Source organism: Homo sapiens, chromosome 7 (genome assembly GCF_000001405.40).
Source record: "Homo sapiens chromosome 7, GRCh38.p14 Primary Assembly".
In the NCBI taxonomy this organism is placed as follows: Eukaryota; Metazoa; Chordata; class Mammalia; order Primates; family Hominidae; genus Homo; species Homo sapiens.
This window is the reverse complement of record NC_000007.14, coordinates 150528003-150548791: the sequence shown is the minus strand read 5'-3', so window position 1 is coordinate 150548791 and position 20789 is coordinate 150528003. Positions and strand designations below refer to the sequence as shown.

The 20789-nt window shown below is 40.9% G+C and overlaps 1 pseudogene; it reads left to right on the top strand.

Moving 5' to 3' along the window:
- Positions 6666-7228, top strand: ALDH7A1P3 (aldehyde dehydrogenase 7 family member A1 pseudogene 3; annotated as a pseudogene).

The window sequence follows — 20789 nt, the reverse complement described above, 5'->3', positions numbered from 1 at the left end:
TTTATTTTTATTATACTTTAAGTTCTGGGATACATGTGCAGAACGTGCAGGTTTGTTACATAGGTATCCATACGCCATGGTGGTTTGCTGCACCTATCAACCTGTTGCCTACATTAGGTATTTCTCCTAATGCTATCCCTCCCCTTGCCCCCAACCTCCTGACAGGCCCCAGTGTGTGATGTTCCCCTCCCTGTGCCCATATGTTCTCATTGTGCAACTCCCACTTATGAGTGAGAATATGTGGTGTTTGGTTTTCTATTTCTCTGTTAGTTTGCTGAGAATGATAGTTTCCACTTTCATCCATGTCCCTGAAAAGACATGAATTCATTCTTTTTTATGGCTGCATACTATTCCAAGCATATATGTGCCTCATTTTCTTTATCCAGTCTATCATTGATGGGCCCTTGGGTTTGTTCCAAGTCTTTGCTGTTGTGAATAACGCTGCAATAAACATACGTGTGCATGTGTCTTCATAGTAGAATGATTTATAATCCTTTGGGTATATACCCAGTAATGGGATCGTTGGGTTAAATGGGATTTCTAGTTCTAGATCCTTGAGGAATTGCCACACTGTCTTTCACAATGGGTGAACCAATTTACACTCCCACCAACAGTGTAAGAGCATTTCTGTTTCCCCACATCCTGTCCAGCATCTATTGTTACCTGACTTTTTAATGATCACCATTCTAACTGGCATGAGATGGTATCTAATTGTGGTTTTGATTTGCATTTCTCTAATTTTTTATGTTTGTTCGCTGCATAAATGTCTTCTTTTGAAAAATGTCTGTGCATATCTTTTGCCCACTTTTTGATGAGGTTTTTTTTTCTTGTAAATTTGTTTAACTCCCTTGTAAATTCTGGATATTAGACCTTTGTCAGATGGAGAGATTGCAAAAATTTTCTCCCATTCTGTAGGTTGCATGTTCACACTGACAATAGTTTTTTTTTTTTTTTTTTTTTTTTTTTTTGCTGTGCAGAAGCTTTTTAGTTTACTTAGATCTCATTTGTCAATTTTGGCTTTTGTTGCAATTGCTTTTGGTGTTTTAGACATGAAGTCTTTTCCCATGCCTATGTCCTGAATGGTATTGCTTAGGTTATCTTCTAGGATTTTTATGGTTTTAGGTCTTACATTTAAATCTTTACTCCATCTTGAGTCAATTTTTGTATAAGGTATAAGGAAGGGGTCCAGTTTCTGTTTTCTGCATATGGCTAACCAGTTTTCCCAACACCGTTTATTAAATAGAGAATCCTTTCCCCATTGCTTGTTTTTGTCAGGTTTGTTGAAGATCAGATGGTTGTAGATGTGCAGTGTCATTTCTGAGGCCTCTGTTCTGTTCCATTGGTCTATATATCTGTGTTGGTACCAGTACCATGCTGTTTTGGTTACTGTAGCCCTGTAGTATAGTTTGAAGTCAGGTAGCATGATGCCTTAAGCTTTGTTCTTTTCGCTTAGGATTGCTTTGTCTATAAGGGCTCTTTTTTGGTTCCATATGAAATTTAAAGTAGTTTTTTTCTAATTCTGTGAAGAAAGTCAATGGTAGCTTCATGGGAATAGCATTGAATCTATAAATTACTTTGGGCAGTATGGCCACTTATAAGACATTGATTCTTCCTATCCATGAGCATGGAATGTTTTTCCATTTGTTTGTGTGCTCTCTTATTTCCTCCAGCAATGGTTTGTAGTTCTCCTTGAAAAGGTCCTTCACATCTCTGTAAGTTGTATTCCTAGGTATTTTATTCTCTTTGTAGTAATTGTGAATGGGAGTTTGCTCATGATTTGGCTGTCTATTATTGGTGTATAGGAATACTTGTAATTTTTGCACATTGATTTTCTATCCTGAGACATTGCTGAAGTTGCTTATCATCTTAAAAAGTTTTGGGGCTGAGATGATAGGGTTTTCTAAATAAACAATCATGTCATCTGCAAACAGAGATAATTTGACTTCCTCTCTTCCTATTTGAATATCCTTTATATCCTTCTCTTACCTGATTGCCCTGACCAGAACTTCCAATACTATGTCGAATGGGAGTTGTGAGAGAGGGCATCCTTGTCTTGTGCACCTTTTCGAAGGGAATGCTTCCATCTTTTGCCCATTCAGTATGATTTTGGATGTGCGTTTGTCATAAATAGCTCCCATTATTTTGAGATATGTTCCATCAATATCTAGTTTATTGAGAGTTTTTAGCATAAAGTGTGTTGAATTTTGTCGAAGGCTTTTTCTGCATCTATTGAGATAATCACGTGGTTTTTGTCATTGGTTTTGTTTATGTGATGGATTACATTTATTGCTTTGCATATGTTGAACCAGCCTTGCATCCCAGGGATAAAGCTGATGTGATCGTGGTGGATAAGCTTTTTAATGTGCTGCTAAATTTGATATGCCAGTATTTTATTGAGGATTTTTGCATCGATGTTCATCAATGATATTGGCCTGAAATTTTCTTTTTTTGTTGTGTCTCTGTCAGGTTTTAGTATCAGGATGATGCTGGCCTCATAAAATGAGTTAGGGAGGAATCCCTCTTCTTCTATTGTTTGGAATAGTTTGAGAAGGAATGACACCAGCTCATCTTTGTACCTCTGGTAGAATTTGGCCCTGAATCCATCTGGTCCTGGGCTTTTCTTGATTTGTAGGCTATTAATTACTGCCTCAACTTCAGAACTTGTTATTGGTTTATTCAGGGATTTGACTTCTTCCTGGTTTTGTCTTGGGAGTGTGTAAGTGTCCATGAATTTATCCATTTCTTCTAGATTTTCTAGTTTATTTGCATAGAGGTGTTTATAGTATTCTCTGATGATAGTTTGTATTTCTGTGGGATCAGTGGTGATATCCTTTTTATCATTTTTTATTTTCTCTGTTTGATTCTTCCCTCTTTTCTTCTTTATTAGTCCAGCTAGCAGTCGATGTATTTTGTTAATCTTTTCAAGAAACCAGCTCCTGAATTCATTGATTTTTTGAAGAGTTTTTCGTGTCTCTACCTCCTTCAGTTCTACTCTGCTTTTAGTTATTTCTCATCTTCTGCTAGCTTTTGAATTTGTTTGCTCTTCCTCCTCTAGTTCTTTTAATTGTGTCAATTTTAGATCTTCCCCACTTTCTCCTGTGGGATTTAGTGCTATAAATTTCCCCCTAAGCACTGCTTTAGCTGTGTCCCAGAGATTCTAGTACATTGTGTCTTTGTTCTCATTGGTTTCAAAGAACTTATTTATTTCTGCCTTCATTTCGTTATTTACCCCATAGTCATTCAGGAGTAGGTTGTTCAGTTTCCAGGTAGTTGTGCAGTTTTGAGTGAGTTTCTTAATCCAGAGTTCTAATTTGATGGCACTGTGGTCTGAGAGACTGTTTGTTATTATTTCCATTCTTTTGCCTTTGCTGAGAAGTGTTTTACTTCCAATTATGTGGTTGATTTTAGAATAAGTGCTATGTGGTGCTGAGAAGAATGTATATTCTGTTGATTTGAGGTGGAGAGTTCTGTGGATGTCTATTAGGTCCACTTAGTCCAGTACTGAGTTCACGTCCTGAGTATTCTTTTTCATTTTCTGTCTCATTGATCTATCTAATATTGACAGTGGGGTGTTAAAGAATCCCATTATTATTATGTGGGTGTCTAAGTCTCTTTGTATGTTTCTAAGAACTTGCTTTAAGAATCTGGATGCTCCTGTATTGGGTGCATATCAATGTAAGATACTTAGCTTTTCTTCTTGCATTGATCCCTTTATCATTATGTAATGCCCTTCTTTGTCTTTTTTGATCTTTGTTGGTTTAAAGTCTGTTTTATCAGAGACTAGTATTGCAACCCCTGCTTTTTGTTTTGTTTTGTTTTGTTTTTTGCTTTTCATTTGCTTGGTAGATCTTCCTCAATCCCTTTATTTTGAGCCTATGTGTGTCTTTGCATGTGAGATGGGTCTCCTGAATACAACACACCAATGGATCTTGACTCTTTATCCAATTTTCCTGTCTGTGTCTTTTAATTGGGGGATTAGCCTGTTTACATTTAAGGTTAACATTGTTATGTGTGAATTTGATCCTGTCATCATGATGCTAGCTGGTTATTTTCCCCATTAGTTGATGCAGTTTCTTCATAGTGTTAATGGTCTTTACAGTTTGATATGTCTTTGCAGTGGCTGGTACTGGTTTTTCCTTTCCATATTTAGTACTTCCTTCAGGAGCTCTTGTAAGACAGGCCTGGGCATGACAAAATCCCTCACCATTTGCTTTTCTCTAGTGGATTTTATTTCTCATTCACTTATGAAGGTTAGTTTGGCTGGATATAAAATTCTGGGTTGAAAATTCTTTCCTTTAAGAATGTTGAATATTGGCCCCCACTCTCTTCTGGTTTGTAGGGTTTCTGCAGAGAGATCAGCTGTTTGTCTGATGGGCTTCTCTTTCTGGGTAACCTGAGCTTTCTCTCTCACTGCCCTTAACATTTTTTGCTCTGTTTAAAACTTGGAGAATCTGATGATTATGTGTCTTGGGGTTGCTCTTCTTGAGGAGTGTCTTTGTGGTGTTCTCTGTAGCTCCTGAATTTGAATGTTGGCCTGCCTTGCTAGGTTGGGGAAATTCTCCTGGATAATATCCTGAAGAGTGTTTTCCAGCTTGGTTCCATTCTCCCCATCACTTTCAGGTACACCAATCAAACATAGGTTTGGTCTTGTCACATAGTCGCATATTTTTTGGAGGCTTTGTTCCTTCCTTTTCGTTCTTTTTTCTCTACTCTTGTCTTCATGCTTTATTTCATTAAGTTCATCTTCAGTCTCTGATATCCTCTCTTCCATTTGATCGATTCAGCTACTGATACTTGTGTATGCTTCACGAGGTTCTTGCGCTGTGTTTTTCAGCTTCATCAAATCATTTATGTTCTTCTCTAAACTGGTTGTTCTAGTTAGCAATTCCTGTAACCTTTTATCAAGGTCCTTAGCTTCCTTGCATTGGGTTAGAACATGCTCCTTTAGCTTGATGGAGTTTGTTATTGCCCACATTCTGAAGCCTACTTCTGTCAATTTGTCAAATTCATTCTCAGTCTTGGTTTGTTCCCTTGCTGGTGAGGAGTTGTGCTCCTTTGGAGGAGAAAAGGCATTCTGGTTTTTGGAGTTTTCAGCTTTTTTGCACTAGTTTTTCCTCATCTTGGTGGATTTATCTACCTTTGGTCTTTGCTGTTGGTAACCTTTGGATGGGGTTTTTGCATGGTTGTTTTCTTGTTGTTGATGTTGATGCTATTGCTTACTGTTTGTTAGTTTTCCTTCTAACAGTGAGGCTCCTCTGCTGCAGGTCTGCAGGAGTTTGTTGGAGGTCCACTCCAGACCCTGTTTGCCTGAGTATTACCACTGAGGGTTGCAGAACAGCAAAGATTGCTGCCTGCTCCTTCCTCTGGAAGCTTCATCCCAGAGGGGCACCCAACAGATGCCAGCCAGAGCCCTCCTGTATGAGGTGTCTGTCAACCCCTGATGAGAGATGTCTCCCCATCAGGAGGCACGGGGTTCAGGGACCCACTTGAGAAGGTAGTCTGTCCCTTAGCAGAGCTCGAGCACTGTGCTGGGAGATCTGCTGCTCTCTTTAGAGCTGGCAGGCAGGAATATTTAAGTCTGCTGAAGCTGTACACACAGCCACCCCTCCCCGCAAGTGCTCTGTCCCAGGGAGATGGGAGATTTATCTATAAGCCCCTGACTGGGGCTGCTGCTTTTCTTTCAGAGATGCTCTGCCTAGAGAAGACGAATCTAGAGAGGCAGTCTGGCTACAGCAGCTTTGAGGCACTGCAGTGGGCTCTGCCCAGTCCAAACTTCCCAGTGGCTTTGTTCATATTGTGAGGGGAAAACTGCCCTCTCAAGCCTCAGTAATGGTGGACCCATAATTTTCTTCATGATGTTTTTATTTTGCTTCCTAATTCAATAAGATTTTTTTTCATTCTGTCAGAGACATTTTCTTTTGATTGTACTACTCAAAATTAACAATGTTATTCATCTCTCATTGTTTACTTTTTCTAAGAAAACCAGAATAATGGTATCCTGAAAACTAGAAATAACTCAACAAAGCCTGCAAATCTCCTTCCTCTAAAATCCCATTGGGGCAAAGCACTGTTCTGTTAGCAATATACCCTTCCTCTAGGCCCAGGGACTACCAGGGAAGAGGTGGATGCATGAGATTGTAAGGGCCAGTTTTAAGGGGTTCAGATCCCCAAAATCAAGGGCAGGCACACACACATGCTTATACAGGGGGTAAATTGATGGACTTTGTCTCCTGAGCCATTATATGCCCCCTTTCCATCTTTCTCAATCATGAAAAAAAATTTCTACTTTAATATAAGAGCCCAAACCCAAAGGCTTGGCCACATTCTGGGACCCATGTGTATTTACAATTAAATGTAAAACAGTTTTATTCCTCAAACCTAGACCAATTCCCCTTGTCAGCAAACAGTAGCTAGAATTGCCATTGCCCCATATCCCTCAAGATTGAGGAATGCACAACAGAAAGGGAGTTGATATAGTTTGAATATGTGTTGCTGCCAAATTTCATGTTGAATTGTGATCCCCAGTGTTGGAGGTGGGGTCTTGGGGGAGGTGTTTGGGTCATAAGGGCAGACTCTCATGTCATAGTGCATTCTTTTGAGATCCAGTTGTTTAAATGTGTGGAACCTTCCCTACCCATTCTCTCTCTCTTGTTCCTGCTCTGCCATGTGATGTGTCTGTTCCTGCTTCTATACACAGAGACTTTTGCTCCAATTCTCTATGTTTTTAAATTTAAGAATGAAGAAGAGCTCTTTGTGTGAAATAATGAAGTAAAACAGGGTATTTCAAGTAGCATCTTTACCAAAGATTTGGGCAGAATCTTCCACTGGCTTGGACCTAAAAGATCTAACTGTGGCATTGTAAATGTCAATATTCCAATGAGCGGAGCTGAGATTGCAGGTGCATTTGGAGGAGAAAAGCACATTTGTGGTGGCAGGGCATCTGGTGATGACTCCTGGAAATAGTGCATGAGAAGGTTTACTTGTATCATCAACTATGGTAAGGATCTTCCTCTGGTGAAAGGAATCAAGTTTCAGTAAAGTTTTATGGACGAACATTGCTTAATTTTAGGTGTTCCTGCAGCTGTTTCTGAAGAAGAAAAAAAAAATTAAAATTTTCCCTGAATAAATGCATCATTATGACTATGACAGTGACTAATGTCTTATGACCCCAAAGCCCTGATTAAATCAACAGACTCATTTTTTAAAAAATCAAAACAAAATTGTCACATTAAAAAATGGTATTGATGAATAGAGCCCTGCTATAAAAATACTTGAAAATGTGGAAGCAGCTTTGGAACTGGGTAACAGGCAGAGGTTGGAAGAGTTTGTGGAGGCCTCCATGTGGTATTAAGCCCACAGGCATACAGAATGCAAGAGTGAAGGAAGCTTGGCAGCCTCCACCAAGATTTCAGAGGATGTATGAGAAAGCCTGGGTGCCCAGAAAGAAGCCTGTTGCAGGGGCAGAGCCCTCACAGAGAACCTTTAATAGCAGGGTTTGGAGGGGAAATGAGTTAGAAGCCCCACACAGAATCCCTACTGGGGCACTGCCTAGTGGAGTTAAAGCTCCCTGAGGCCTCCCTAGAAGCTGAGCTGATGCCAGCACTATGCTTGTACAGCCTGCAGAACCATGATCTGATTAAACCTATTTTCTTTACAAATTACCCAGTCTCAGGTAATTCTTTATCACAATGTAAGAACTGCCTAATATAGAAAATTGGTACTGAGGAATGGGGCATTGCTATAAAGATACCTGAAAATGTGGAAGCAGCTTTGGAACTGGGTAGCAGAGGTTAGAAGACTTTGTAGAGATCAGAAGAAGATGGGAAAATGAGGGAAAGTTTGAAACTTCTTAGGGACTGGTTAAATTGTTTTGAGCAAAACAATGATAGTGATATGGACAATTAAGTCCAGGTTGCCAAGGTATCAGATGGAAATGAGAAACATACTGGGAACTGGAGCAAAAGTCACCCTTGTTATGCCTTAGCAAAGAACTTGGCTGCATTGTGTTTATGCCATGAGAGTTGGTGGAAGTTTCAACTAAAGAGTGATTTAGGATATCTGGCAGAAGAAATTTCTAAGCAGCAAAGCATTCATGATGTTACCCAGCTGCTTCTAACAGCTTACCATCAGATGCAGGAGCAAATAAATGACTTAAAGTTGGAATATTTAAATAGGAAGTAGAGCACAAGAGTTTGGAAAATTTGCAGACTGGCCAAGTGGCAGAGAAATAAAACTTTTTTGGGAAAGGAATTCAAGCAGGCTTTGGAGAAACCGTTTGCTAGAGATATTTGCATAACTAAAAAGGAACCAGGTACTAATAGCTAACATAATGGGAAAAGGGCCTTAAAGACATTTCAGAGATTTTTGAGGCAGCCCTTCCCATCGCAGGCCTAGAGGCCCAGGAGAGAACAATTCCATGGGCCTGTTCTGGGGACCCACTGCCATGCACAGCCTTGGGACACTGTTCCTCCTGGCTACTCCAACTCCAGCTGCGGCTCAAAGGAGCCCAGGTACAGCTCAAGCTACTACTTTGGAGGGTGTGAGCCATAAGTCTTGTGGCTTCCACGAGGTGTTAAGCCTACAGGCACACAGAATGCAAGACTGAAAGAGGTTTGGCATCTTCTACCAAGATTTTAGAAGATGTATGAGAAAGCCTGAGTGGCTGCTGCAGGGGCAGAGCCCTCATGGAGAAACTCTAATAGGGCAGTGGGGATTAGAGGGCCCACACAGATTCCTTACTGGCTAGTGGAGCTGTGAGAAGGAAACCACTGTTCTCCATGCCCAAGAATGGTAGATCCACCAACAACTTGCAACCTCAGTGTGGGAAAGACATCGGTGGAGCTGGTCAAGGCTTTAGGAGCCCACCCCTTACATCAGTGTGCCCTAGATATGGGACATGGAGTCAAAGGAGATTATTTTGGCACTTTAAAATTTAATTACTTCAGGGTTGAGCATGGTGGTTCATGCGTGTAATCCCAGCATTTGGGAGGCCGAGGTAGGAGGATTGCTTGAGGCCAGGAGTTTGAGACCAACCTGGGCAACAAAATGAGATCCCCATCTTGAAAAAAACAAACAGATTTAATGACTTCCCATACAAGTCTGGGTTCCAAACTTGTATGAGGCCTGTAGTCTCTTTCTTGTGGCTGATTTCTTTGTTTTGAAGTGGTTTACCCAATGCCTATACCCCATTGTATCTTGGAAGTAAATAACTTGTTTTGATTTTACAAGCTCATAGGTGGAAGGTACTCATTACCAGATGAGACTTTGGACTTTGGACTTGGAACTTTTCCTTGAGTTGATGCTGAAATTAGTTAAGATTTGTGTGTGGGGCAGGGGGCTGTTGGGAAGGCATGATTTTATTTTACAATGTGAGAAGGATATGAAATTTGGAAGGCCAGGGGTGGAATGATATAGTTTAAATATATGTCCCTCCCAAATCTCATGTTGAATTATAATCCCCAATGTTGGAAGTGGGGTCTGGTGAGAAGTGTTTGGGTCATGGGAGTGAATCCCTTGTGGCTTGGTTCTGTCCTTGCAGTAGTGAGTGAGCTTTCTTGAGATACGGTTGTTTAAGTGTGTTGTACCTCCCCCAACTTCCCCACTCTCTCTCTTGCTACTGCTCTGGCCATGTGATGTGTCTGCTCCCACTTCACCTTCTGCCATGAATGAAAGCTCCCTTTTTTCATCTCTCTAGTAACTGAGCTGATGCCAGAGCTATGCTTGAGCAGCCTTCAAAACTGTGCCAGTTAAACCTCTTTTCTTTATAAATTATCCAGTCTCAGGTATTTCTTTATAGCAATGCAAGAATGACATAATACAGGGGGCTTATAACCGTGGGACCAGCTCAAACCAATTAACCACTGCTTAAGTTGTTACAGATGTTGCAGAGGCAAAATTGCAAGTCATTGACCCCAGCCATGAACAATGTTAACCTCCTGATTTTTAACACAACCAATCTGGCAGACCAGCTGCAGTGGCATCACCTAGGCCTAGTTAGAAATGCCATAAAAGCTTGGCCCAACTCCAAATTGAAGAGACACATTTCAGCATTTCCTCCTGTCTCCTTGCCAGTAAACTCAAAATGAAACTTTTATTCTCAAAAGCCAGTGCCATAGTGTTGGCTTCTATGCACATTGATTGGCAAGCCCATTGCTCAATAACAGTTTATATATTCTCATGATATTTGTTAGCATCCTTTAATTTCAACCTAAAATACTCCCTTTTGCATGCATGGTAAGGCAGATGATGATGAATTCCTTCAGCTTTTATTTGTCTGGGAAAACCTTTTATCTCTCCTCCATTGGTAAAGAACATCTTTGCTGGGTATAAGATTCTTGGTTGGCAATTTTTTCCTTTTAGCACTTTGAATATATCATTTCACTCTCTCAGCCTGTAAAGTTTCTGGTGAGATCTGCTAACAGTCTTATGAAGATTCCTTGGCCAGGTGCGGTGGCTCACGCCTGTCATCCCAGCACTTTGGGAGGCCAAGGCAGGCAGAACACCTGAAGTCAGGAGTTTGAGAACAGCCTGGACAACATGGTGAAACCCCATCTCTATTAAAAATTTAAAAATTAACCAAGCATTGTGGTGGGCACCTGTAATCCCAGCTACTTGGAAGGCTGAGGCAGGAAAATCACTTGAACCGAGGAGGAGTTTGCAGTGAGCCAAGATTGTGCCACTGCACTCCAGCCTGGATGACAGAGCAACTCTGTCTCAAAGAAAAAAAAAAGATTTCTTCCTGTTAAGCTGTATTTATCTTACTGATTTGAAAATTATATTTGTTACTGACTTTTGAGAACTGAGTATAATGCATCTCAGTGAAGATCCCTTTACATTTAATCTACTTAGTTTATAGGGGCTAGATCAGCACCAGGGTCCACTGGAGCCTGGGCTTGTGGGCAGAAGCCTGAAGGCAGGGGCCACGGTTATAACTTAGATCCTGGGGCTATGATGTCTAGAGTCCTTTAGGCTTTATAGACCTAGATGTTCATTTCCCTCTCCAGATTTGGGGAATTTTATATTATTTCTTTAAATAAATGTTCTGCTTTTTTATCTTTCTCTGCTTCTGAAATTTCCATAATGTGTGTTGGTTCACTTGATGATGTCCCATAAGTCTGTAGGATTTCTTCGTGCTTTTTCATTCTTCTTTTTGTTCCTCGTACTGGGTAATTTCAAACGATGTGCCTTTGAACTCACTAGTTCTTATAATTCAAATCTGCTATTGAAGCTCTCTGAAATTTTCAGTTCAGTTATTGTGTTCTTCAGCTTCTGAATTTCGTTCATTTTAATGGTTTCTATTTGTTGAACAACTCTTTGTTTATGTATTCTGATTATTGTTCAGTTTGTGTTTTCTTGTGGCTCACTAAACTTTTTTCAGATAATTATTTTGAACTCTTAGGCAGTTCATAGATCTGCATTTCTGTAAGGTCTGTTAATGGTGTTTTAGTTTGTTCTTTTGGTGTCATGTTTTTCTGATTATCTGTAATCCTTGGGGCTTTAAATTGGTGTTTGCATATTTAAAGAAGTAGGCAGCTTTTTCGGTCTTTACAAACTGGATTCAGCAGGGAAAGCCCTCCACCAGTCAGCCCTAAGATTCTAGGTAAGCCAGCTAATGGGGTTTATCAGTGGGCTTGTGATATAGTTTAGATGTTTGTCCCCTCCAAATCCCATGTTGACATTTGATTCCCAGTGTTGGAAGTGGGGCCTGGTGGGAGGTCATTGGATCATGGGGGCAGTTCCCTCATGAAGGGTTTAGAACCATCTCCTTGGTAATAATGAGTTCTTGCTCTGAGTTCATGTGAGAACTGGTTGTTTAAAAGTGCGTGGCCTCTACCTCCCGCTCTTACTCCCATTCTTATCATGTGACCTGCCTATTCCCACTTCACCTTCCTCCATAATTGTAAGGTTCCTGAGACCCTCACCAGAAGCAGATGCTGTAGCCATGTTGGTACAGCCTACAGGTTGATGAGGCAATTATAACTCTTTTCTTTACAAATTACTGAGCCACAGGTATTTCTTTATAGCAGTGCAAGAATGGCCTAACACAGCTTGGTATTGGAGTCCTTGAACATGCTACCCTGGTCCCTCAGCAAGTAGGTGGGCAGGCCTGGTGCTTGGATCTACAATGACCAGCTTGGAGCCTGGATCCACTAGGGTGGCACTGGAGCTTAGGTCCCTGTGGGCAGGCCTGTCACTAAGAAGGGCCTCACATCTGGAACCATGGAGATGGGCCTGGTTCTGAGTCTGTGGGCCCAGAGTCTACAGGGGCCATCCTGGTGCTATGGTGAGACTAGAAATTGGGTCTTTGGGTTTATGCCTGAATCTCAGGTCTATAGTGGCTAGCTTGGCACCAGAGTTCACTGGGTTCTGGGCTTGTGGACAGAAGCCTGAAGGCAGGGGCCACGGGTACATTCTAGATCCTGGGGCTGTGATGTCTGGTCTGAAGGTTTAGTCTTCAGAGCAGGCCTGCATCCTGGAGCCATGGGGCCAGCCTGGTGCTGGGATGAACCTGAACTTGGGTCCATGTGGGTCAGCCCAAAGCCTGGGTCAATGGGAGCCAGCTTGGCCCTGGAGCAGGCCTTAAAGTTCATCTTCAGATCCAACATGAACCCTCATCCCATGAGTGCTAGTCTACAGAATGAGACTGCAGAGGCTGACCTGAAGCCTGAGGCTGTGGGACAAGCCTGAAGCCTGGCGCTTTGTGGGGCTGGCCTGGTGCTGGAACAGACCTGGAGCCTGAGGTTATGAGGGCAGACCTATTGCTGGAGTTGGCCTAGGACCTGTGTCTGCAAGGTGGCCCTGGAGCCTGGGGCTGCAAAGGGCCACCTGACAATGGGAAAGGCCTGGAGTTTGGGGCCATAGAAACACCTTTAGTTATACTAACTAAGAAAAAAGAAAAAAGACTCAAATATATAATATTATTAATAAAAGCAGAAACATTACAACTGATACTGCAGGTATACACTGCAGGACCACAAGAAATTATTATAAATAATTATAGACCAATAAATTTGATAGCCTAGAGAAAGTTAGTAAATTCATAGGCATATACAACCTATCAAGACTGAATCACCAAGAAATAGAAAATCTTAATAGATCAATGACAAGTAAGGAGATTAAATCCGTAATTGCAACACTCCTAACAAAAGCTCTAGACATGAAGGCTCCACTGGTGAATTTTAACAAACACTTATAGCAAAATGAATGTAATGCCAATTCCACTCAAACTTTTCTGAAAAATTGAAGGAAAAGGAACACTTTCAAACTCATTTTATGAGGCCACGATTACCCTAATACCAAAACCAGAGGACACTACAAGCAAAGAAAATTACAGGCCAATATCTCTGATGAACATAGATGTTAAACTCTTTAATAAAATACAAGCATACTGATTTCAACAGCACATTAAAAACATTATACACTTTGAGTAAGTGGGATTTATCCCTAGAATGCAAAAACGGCTCAACATATGCAAATAAATAAATGTGACACACTACACTAACAAAATAAAGGATAAAAATCATATGATCACCTCAATAGACGCAAAGAAAGCACTGGACAAAATTCAGTATCCTTTCATGACAAAAATGCTCAACAAGTTAAGTACAGAAAGAATGTACCTTTATGGTGGCCAAGATGGCCAACTAGAAGCAATTAATATGCATGGCTCTCACGGAGAGGAACAAAAAGAGCAAGTAAATACATCATCTCAACGTGGAACATCAGGTACTTGCATTGCCTCTAATCAAGGAAATAACTTGACCCTGGAGAATGAAGAAAAGCAAGACAGCATGACGGCCCACACAGGAGCAACACAGAGGCAGGGGAATCTCCCCCACCCAGGGAAGCAGTTAGTGCATGTGCGACCCCAGGAACCCACACTTCTCCCACAAATTTTTGCAACCCATGGGCCAGGAGATCTTCTTGTGAACCCATTCCACTGGGGTCTTTGGTGGACAAACAGAGCTATGGAGTCTCAGCGGAGCAGCTGCTCAGGCATGCATGGAGTCCTGGGAAGCTTAGATACTCAGGCTTTCCGGCAAAAGTAGCTGCAACTCCAGCAAAGTGCGAGGTTAGATCCCTGTACATACCCCTAGGTAAGAGGCTGAATCCAAGGGACTGAGCAGTGACAGCCTGCAGGCCCCACTTCCATGGCACCTCACAGGATAAGACCCATTAGCTTGGAGTTCCAGCCAGCCACTGGTAGCAGCATTGCACTTCCCTGTGATGGAGCTCCCAGGAGAAGGGGCAGGCTGCCATCTTTCATCTTTGCTGTTTGAGCTACTTAGCCCCCAACCAAGTCTTCAGAATTTGGAGAGTCTTAGCTGACCACAGGCAGAAGGGACCCACCCAGAACAGCACAGCTGCTCTAACAAAATGTGGCTAAACTGCTTCTTTAAGTGGGTGCCCAATCCCATTCCTCTTCCCTGAGTAGGATCTCCCAACCAGGGCCTCTAGCCACCCCCATTAGTGTTCTCCAGCCAACAGAGATTTTAATTCTCTGGGATGAAGCTCTCAGCATGAAGGGTGGACCACCATCCTTGCTGTCTGGGCAACTTAGCTATTCCAGCGTTCAGGCTTTGAAGTGTCCAAGGCAACCAGGAGCTGAAGTGGATCCCCAGCACAGCTTAGCTGCTCTATGAAATCATGGCCAGACTGCTTTTTAAAGTGGGTCCCCAATCACATTTCTCCTTACTGGGTGGGACCTTTCTATCGGGGTCTCCAGCCACCTCCTACAGGTGTGTTCAGGCTAGCAACAGGCTTGAACAAGCTAGCAACAGGCTAGCAACAGGATGAAGCTCCCAGAGGGAAGGGCAGTTTGCCATCTTTGCTATTTGACAGGCTTCTCTGGTGTTACCTCCAGGTAAAATCCGAGGTAACTAGGGACTGGAGTGGGCCCCTAGCATACCGCAGAAGCCCTATGGAAAATTGGCCAGACTGTTATGTGGGTGGCCATTCCCATATCTCCTTACCAGACAGGTCCTCCAGGCTTGGCCTCCAGACACCCACCACCAGAGCTATCAAGCCAATAGCAACTCAGCAACTCCCTGGACAGAGCCTTCCAGGGCAACTGAAAATCTCTCTGCCACTGCCTCTGCAGTGGAACTGCCTTTGCCACCCGTGGACTAACATAGGAGCAAAGACCCTAAGTGCCTTATACACACCTCCAACAAGCTACATTTCATCCAAGAAGAGGAAGCCAGTCCAATTTCCATGGGTCCCCCACACCCCCATTGCTCATCACCAGACAGGGAATCCCTGGCTTGGGCCCTCCAGCACAGACCCTCCATCTTGGGCTAATTGCACTGAGCAACTGCTGACCTGCATCTTTCTGGGGTGGGGCCCCTGGGAGACAAGCAAAAGACCATTGTCCACAACCACTACTAAAGTTCTTCCTTTACTGACTCCAATTTGAGGAAGGAATGTAAACACTGAGATCACCCCAGAGCTGCAGTGGGCAGCCCAGGAGCACCAAACCATGATCTACAGCCAGCAGTCAAGAGAGAGAGAAACCAACACTTTCAGAGCATTGAGAGGGAACATGGCTGCAACTATGAGGAAACATAGGGGAGCCACACAACCAAGCAAGAGTCTACGAACTGACCAACAAACATAAGTGCCACCTGCTGGATCACACCCCAAAGCTTCAACACCAAAAATACCTCACTAACATACCCTCCTCTGAAACCAGAGACAAGAAGTCAGCTTCAAATAGAGACCCTGCACAAAGACTTGGCCCTGTGAAAACATCCATAAAAAGAAGTTTATTGATTGTATTCAATCTACACTGCAGTTAAAGGAACACCGACATGCAGAGATGAGAAAGAACCAACGCAAGAACTCCAGTAACTCAAGTGGCCAGATTGTCATATGTCCTCCAAATGGCACACCAGTTCTCCAACAAGGGTTCTTAACCAGGCTGAAATGGCTGGAATGACAGAAATAGAAGACAAAATATGGATAGAAACAAAAATCTTTGAGATTCAGAAGGATGGCAAAACCCAATCCAAGGAAAATAAGAATCACAATAAAGCAATACAGGAGCTGAAGGACAAAATAACCAGTATAAAAAAGAACCTAATGCATCTGACAGAGCTGAATAACATAATACAATAATATCATAAATATTAAAAGCAGAAGAAATCAAGCTGAGGAAAGAATCTCAGAACTTGAATACTGGTTCTCTGAAATAAGACAAAAAATAAAGAAAAAAGGCTAAAAATGAATGAATAAAGTGTCTGAGAATTATGAGATTATGTAAAGAGGGCAAATCCGATTGGCATTGCTTGAAAGGGAAGGGGAGAAAGCAAACAACTTGGAAAATATATTTCAGGATACTGTTTATGAAAACTTCCCCAACCTTGCTAGAGAGTCCAACAGTCAAATTCAGGAAATACAGAGAACTCCTGCAAGAATCTACATAAGAGGATCATCCCCAATACACATAACTGTCAGATTTTCCAAGGTTGAAATGAAAGAATGTTAAAGGCAGCTAGAGAGAAAGGGAAGCCACCTACAAAGGGAAACCCTTCAGGCTAACAGTGGGTCTCTCAGCTGAAACCCTCCAAGCCAGAAGAGATTTGGTGCCAATATTCAACACCCTTAAAGACAAAATCTTCAACCAAGAATTGCATATCCAGCCAAACTAAGCTTCCTAAGTGAAGGAGAAATAAGATCCTTTTCAGATAAGCAAATGTTGAGGGATCTCATTACCACCATTCCTGCCTTACAAGAGATCTTGAGATGAGCACTAAATATAGAAAAGAAAGACTGCTACCAGGTAATACAAAAACACACTTAAACACACAGACCACTATAAAGCAACCATAAAAACAAGCGAACATAATAACCAGCTAACAGCACAATGACAGGATTAAATACACATATATCAATACTAACCTTAATGTAAATGGACTAAATGCCCCCACTTAAAAGGCATAGAGTGACAAGCTGGATAAAGAAGCAAGACCCAATGATATGCTGATTCAAGAGACCCATCTCACATGTAATGACACTCATAGGCTCAAAATAAAGGGATAGAGGGAAATCTACCAAGCAAATTGAAAAGAGAAAAAAGCAGGAGCTGCAATCCTATTTTCAGGCAAAACAGATTTCTTTTTTTTTAGTGAGAAGAAAATGTTATTGACCTCAATTTAGAAGAAAAGAAGATGAAAAATAAGGAAAAAATATGGAATCTTTTATACCTGAGTTTTTATTAAGTAATGTTAAGCCTGGTCTACCTAAGAAAAAATATTTTGTAGAATTGCATATGTAAATAATCTCATTTAAATTATAATAACTAAATTTTTATTTGAGTCCAGGTTTGTTTTTTTTATTTTGCCTCTCTAGCATCAATTAGTTTAGCAAGGTACAAACTAACCAAATATGTATTTTTTTTTTTTTTTGCTTTAAGACAAAACAGATTTCAAACCAACAAAGATCAAAAAACACAAAGAAGGGAATTACATAAAGGTAAAGGGTTCAATTCAATAAGAATACCTAACTATCTGAAATATATATGCACCCAGCACAGGAGGACCCAGATTCATAAAGAAAATTCTTAGAGACCTACAAAGAGATATAGACTCTCACACAATAATAGTAGGAGAATTCAACACTCCACTAACAGTATTAGACAGATCATCAAGGCAGAAAATTAACAAAGATATTCAGGACCTCAACTCAACATTGGACCAAATGGATCTAATAGACATTTACAGAAGTCTCCACCCAAAGACGACAGAATATATATACACTCTTCTCATCACCACATGGCGCATACTCTAAAATGAACCACGTAATTGGACATAAAACAATCAACAAATGCAAAGGAGCTTAAATCATACCAAACACACTCATGGACCACAGCACAATAGGAATAGATGTCAAGACCAAGAAAATTGCTTAAATCCATGCAGTTAAACAACATGCTCTTGGATGACTTTTGGGTAAATAATGAAATTAAGGCAGAAATCAACAAGTTTTTTGAAAATAATGGGAACAAAGATACAAAATACCAGAATCTCTGGGGCACAGCTAAGGCAATGTTAAGGGGGAAATTTATAGCACTAAATGCCCACATTAAAAAGTTAGATCTCAGCTGGGCACTGTGCCTCATGCCTGTAATTTCAGCACTTTGGGAGGCCAAGATGGGCAGATTACAAGGTCAGGAGATCAAGACCATCCTGGCTAACACGGTGAAACACTGTCTCTACTAAAAATACAAAAATTAGCCAGGCATGGTGGCACACACCTGTAGTCCCAGCTGCTCAGAAAGTTTAGGCAGGAGAATCACTAGAACCCAGGAGCCGGAGGTTGCAGTGAGCCAATATCATGCTGCTGCACTCCAGCCTAGGTGACGGAGTGAGACTCTGTCTCAAAAAAAAAAAAGTTAGATCTCAAATTAAAAACCTAACATCACAACTGAAAGAACTAGAGAAGCAAGAAGAAATCAACCCCAAAGCTAGCAGAATACAATAAATAACCAAAATCAGAGCTGAAGTGAAAGAAATCGAGACACACACACACACACACACACACACACACACACACAAAATTCAAAAGACAAACAGATCTAGGAGTTGGCTTTTTGAAAAAAGTAATAAGATAGACAAGCCTCTAGTTACACTAATAAGGAAAAAAATGGAGAAGACCCAAATAAACACAATCAGAAATGATGAAGGGAATGTTACTACTGATTCCACAGAAATTCAAACAACCATCAGAGACTACGATAAACACCTCTGTGCACACAAACTAGAAAGCCTAGAAGAGATGGATAAACTCTTGGACACATACACCAGCCCAAGACTGAGCCAGGAAGAAGTTGATTCCCTGAACAGACCAATAATGAGCTTTGAAGTTGAATCAGTAATAAATAGCCTACCAACCAAAAAAAAAAAAAAAAAAAGCCCAGTACATGATGGATTCATAGCCAAATTCTACCAGATGTACAAAGAATAGCTGGTACCACTCCTACAGAAACTATTCCAAAAAATTAAGGAGGAGGGACACCTCCCCAACTCATTGTATGAGGTCAGCATCATCTTGATACCAAAACCTGCCAGAGACACAACAAAAAAGGAAAACTTCAGGCCAATATACTTTATGAACTTTGATGCAAAAATCCTCAACAAAATACCTGTAAGCTGAATCCAGCAGGACATCAAAAAGCTAATCCACCATGGTCAATTCAGCTTTATTCCTGGGACGCAAGGTTGGTTCAACATACACAAATCAATAAATGTGATTTATCACAAAAACTGAACTAAAGACAAAAACCACATGATTAATAGACACAGAAAATGCTTTTGACAAAATGCAACATTCCTTCATGTTAAAAACTTTCAGTCAACTAGGTATTAAAGGAACACACATCAAAATAATAAGAGCCGTCTATGACAAACCCACAGTTAACATTGCTGAATTGGCAAAAGTTGGAAACATTCCTCTTAAAAACAAGCACAAGACAAGAACGCCCTCTCTTGCCACTTCTATTCAACATAGGATGAAGTCCTGGCCAGAGCAATAAGACAAGAGAAAGAAATAAAGAACATTTAAATAGGAAGAGAGGAAGTCAAACTATGTCTGTTTGCAGACAACATGATTCTATGTCTAGAAAACCCCATAGTCTTGGGCCAAAATCTCTTTGAGCTGATAAACAACTTCAGCAAAGCTGCAGCATACAAAAATCAATGTACAAAAGTCACTAGCATTCCTATACACCAACAAGATCCAAACAGAGAGTCAAGTCAGAAAGGTAATCCCATTCACAATTGCCACTAAAAGAATAAAATACCTAGGAATACAGCTAACCAGGGAGATAAAAGATCTCTACAACGAGAATTACAAAACACTGCTCAAATATATCAGAAAAGACACAAACAAATGAAAAAACATTCCATGCTCATGAAGAATTAATATTGTTTAAATGGCCATACTGCCCAAAGCAATTTACAGATTAAATGCTATTGCTATCAGACTACCAACAACATTCTCCACAGAACTAGAAATAAAGCTATTTTAAAATTGATGTACAGCCATAAAGGAGCCCGAATAGCAAAAGCAATCCTAAGCAAAAAGAACAAAGCTGGAGGCATCACATTACTCACTTCAAACTATACTACAGAGGTACAATCTCCAAAACAGCATAGTACTGGTACAAAAACAGGTACATAGATAAATGGAACAGATTAGAGAGCCCAGAAATAAGGTCACACATCTACAACCATCTGATCTTCAACAAAGATGACAAAAACAAGAAATGGAGAAAACACTCCCTATTTAACAAATGGTGCTGGGATAACTGGTTAGCCATGTGCAGAAGATTGAAACTGTTGAAACTGGACCTCTTGCTTACACAATATACAAAAATCAACTCAAGATGGATTAAAGACTTAAATGGAAAACCCAAAAGTATGAACACCCTGGAAGACAACTAGGCAATACCATTCTCGACATAGGACTGGGCAAAGATTTCATGGCCAAGACACCAAAAGCTATCGCAACAAAAGCAAAATTGACAAACAGTTATCTAAATAAGAGTTTCTGCACAGCAAAAGAGATATCGACAGAGTCACAGACAACCTACAGAATCAGAGACATTTTTGCAAACTATGCATCTGACAAAGGTTTAATATCCAGCATGTATAAAGAACTTAAACAAATGTACAAGAAAAATAAACTACCCCATTAAAAAGTGGGTAAAGGACATGAACAGACACTTTTCAAAAGAAGACATATATGCAGCCAACAAGCATATGAAAAAAAGCTCAACATCACTGATCATT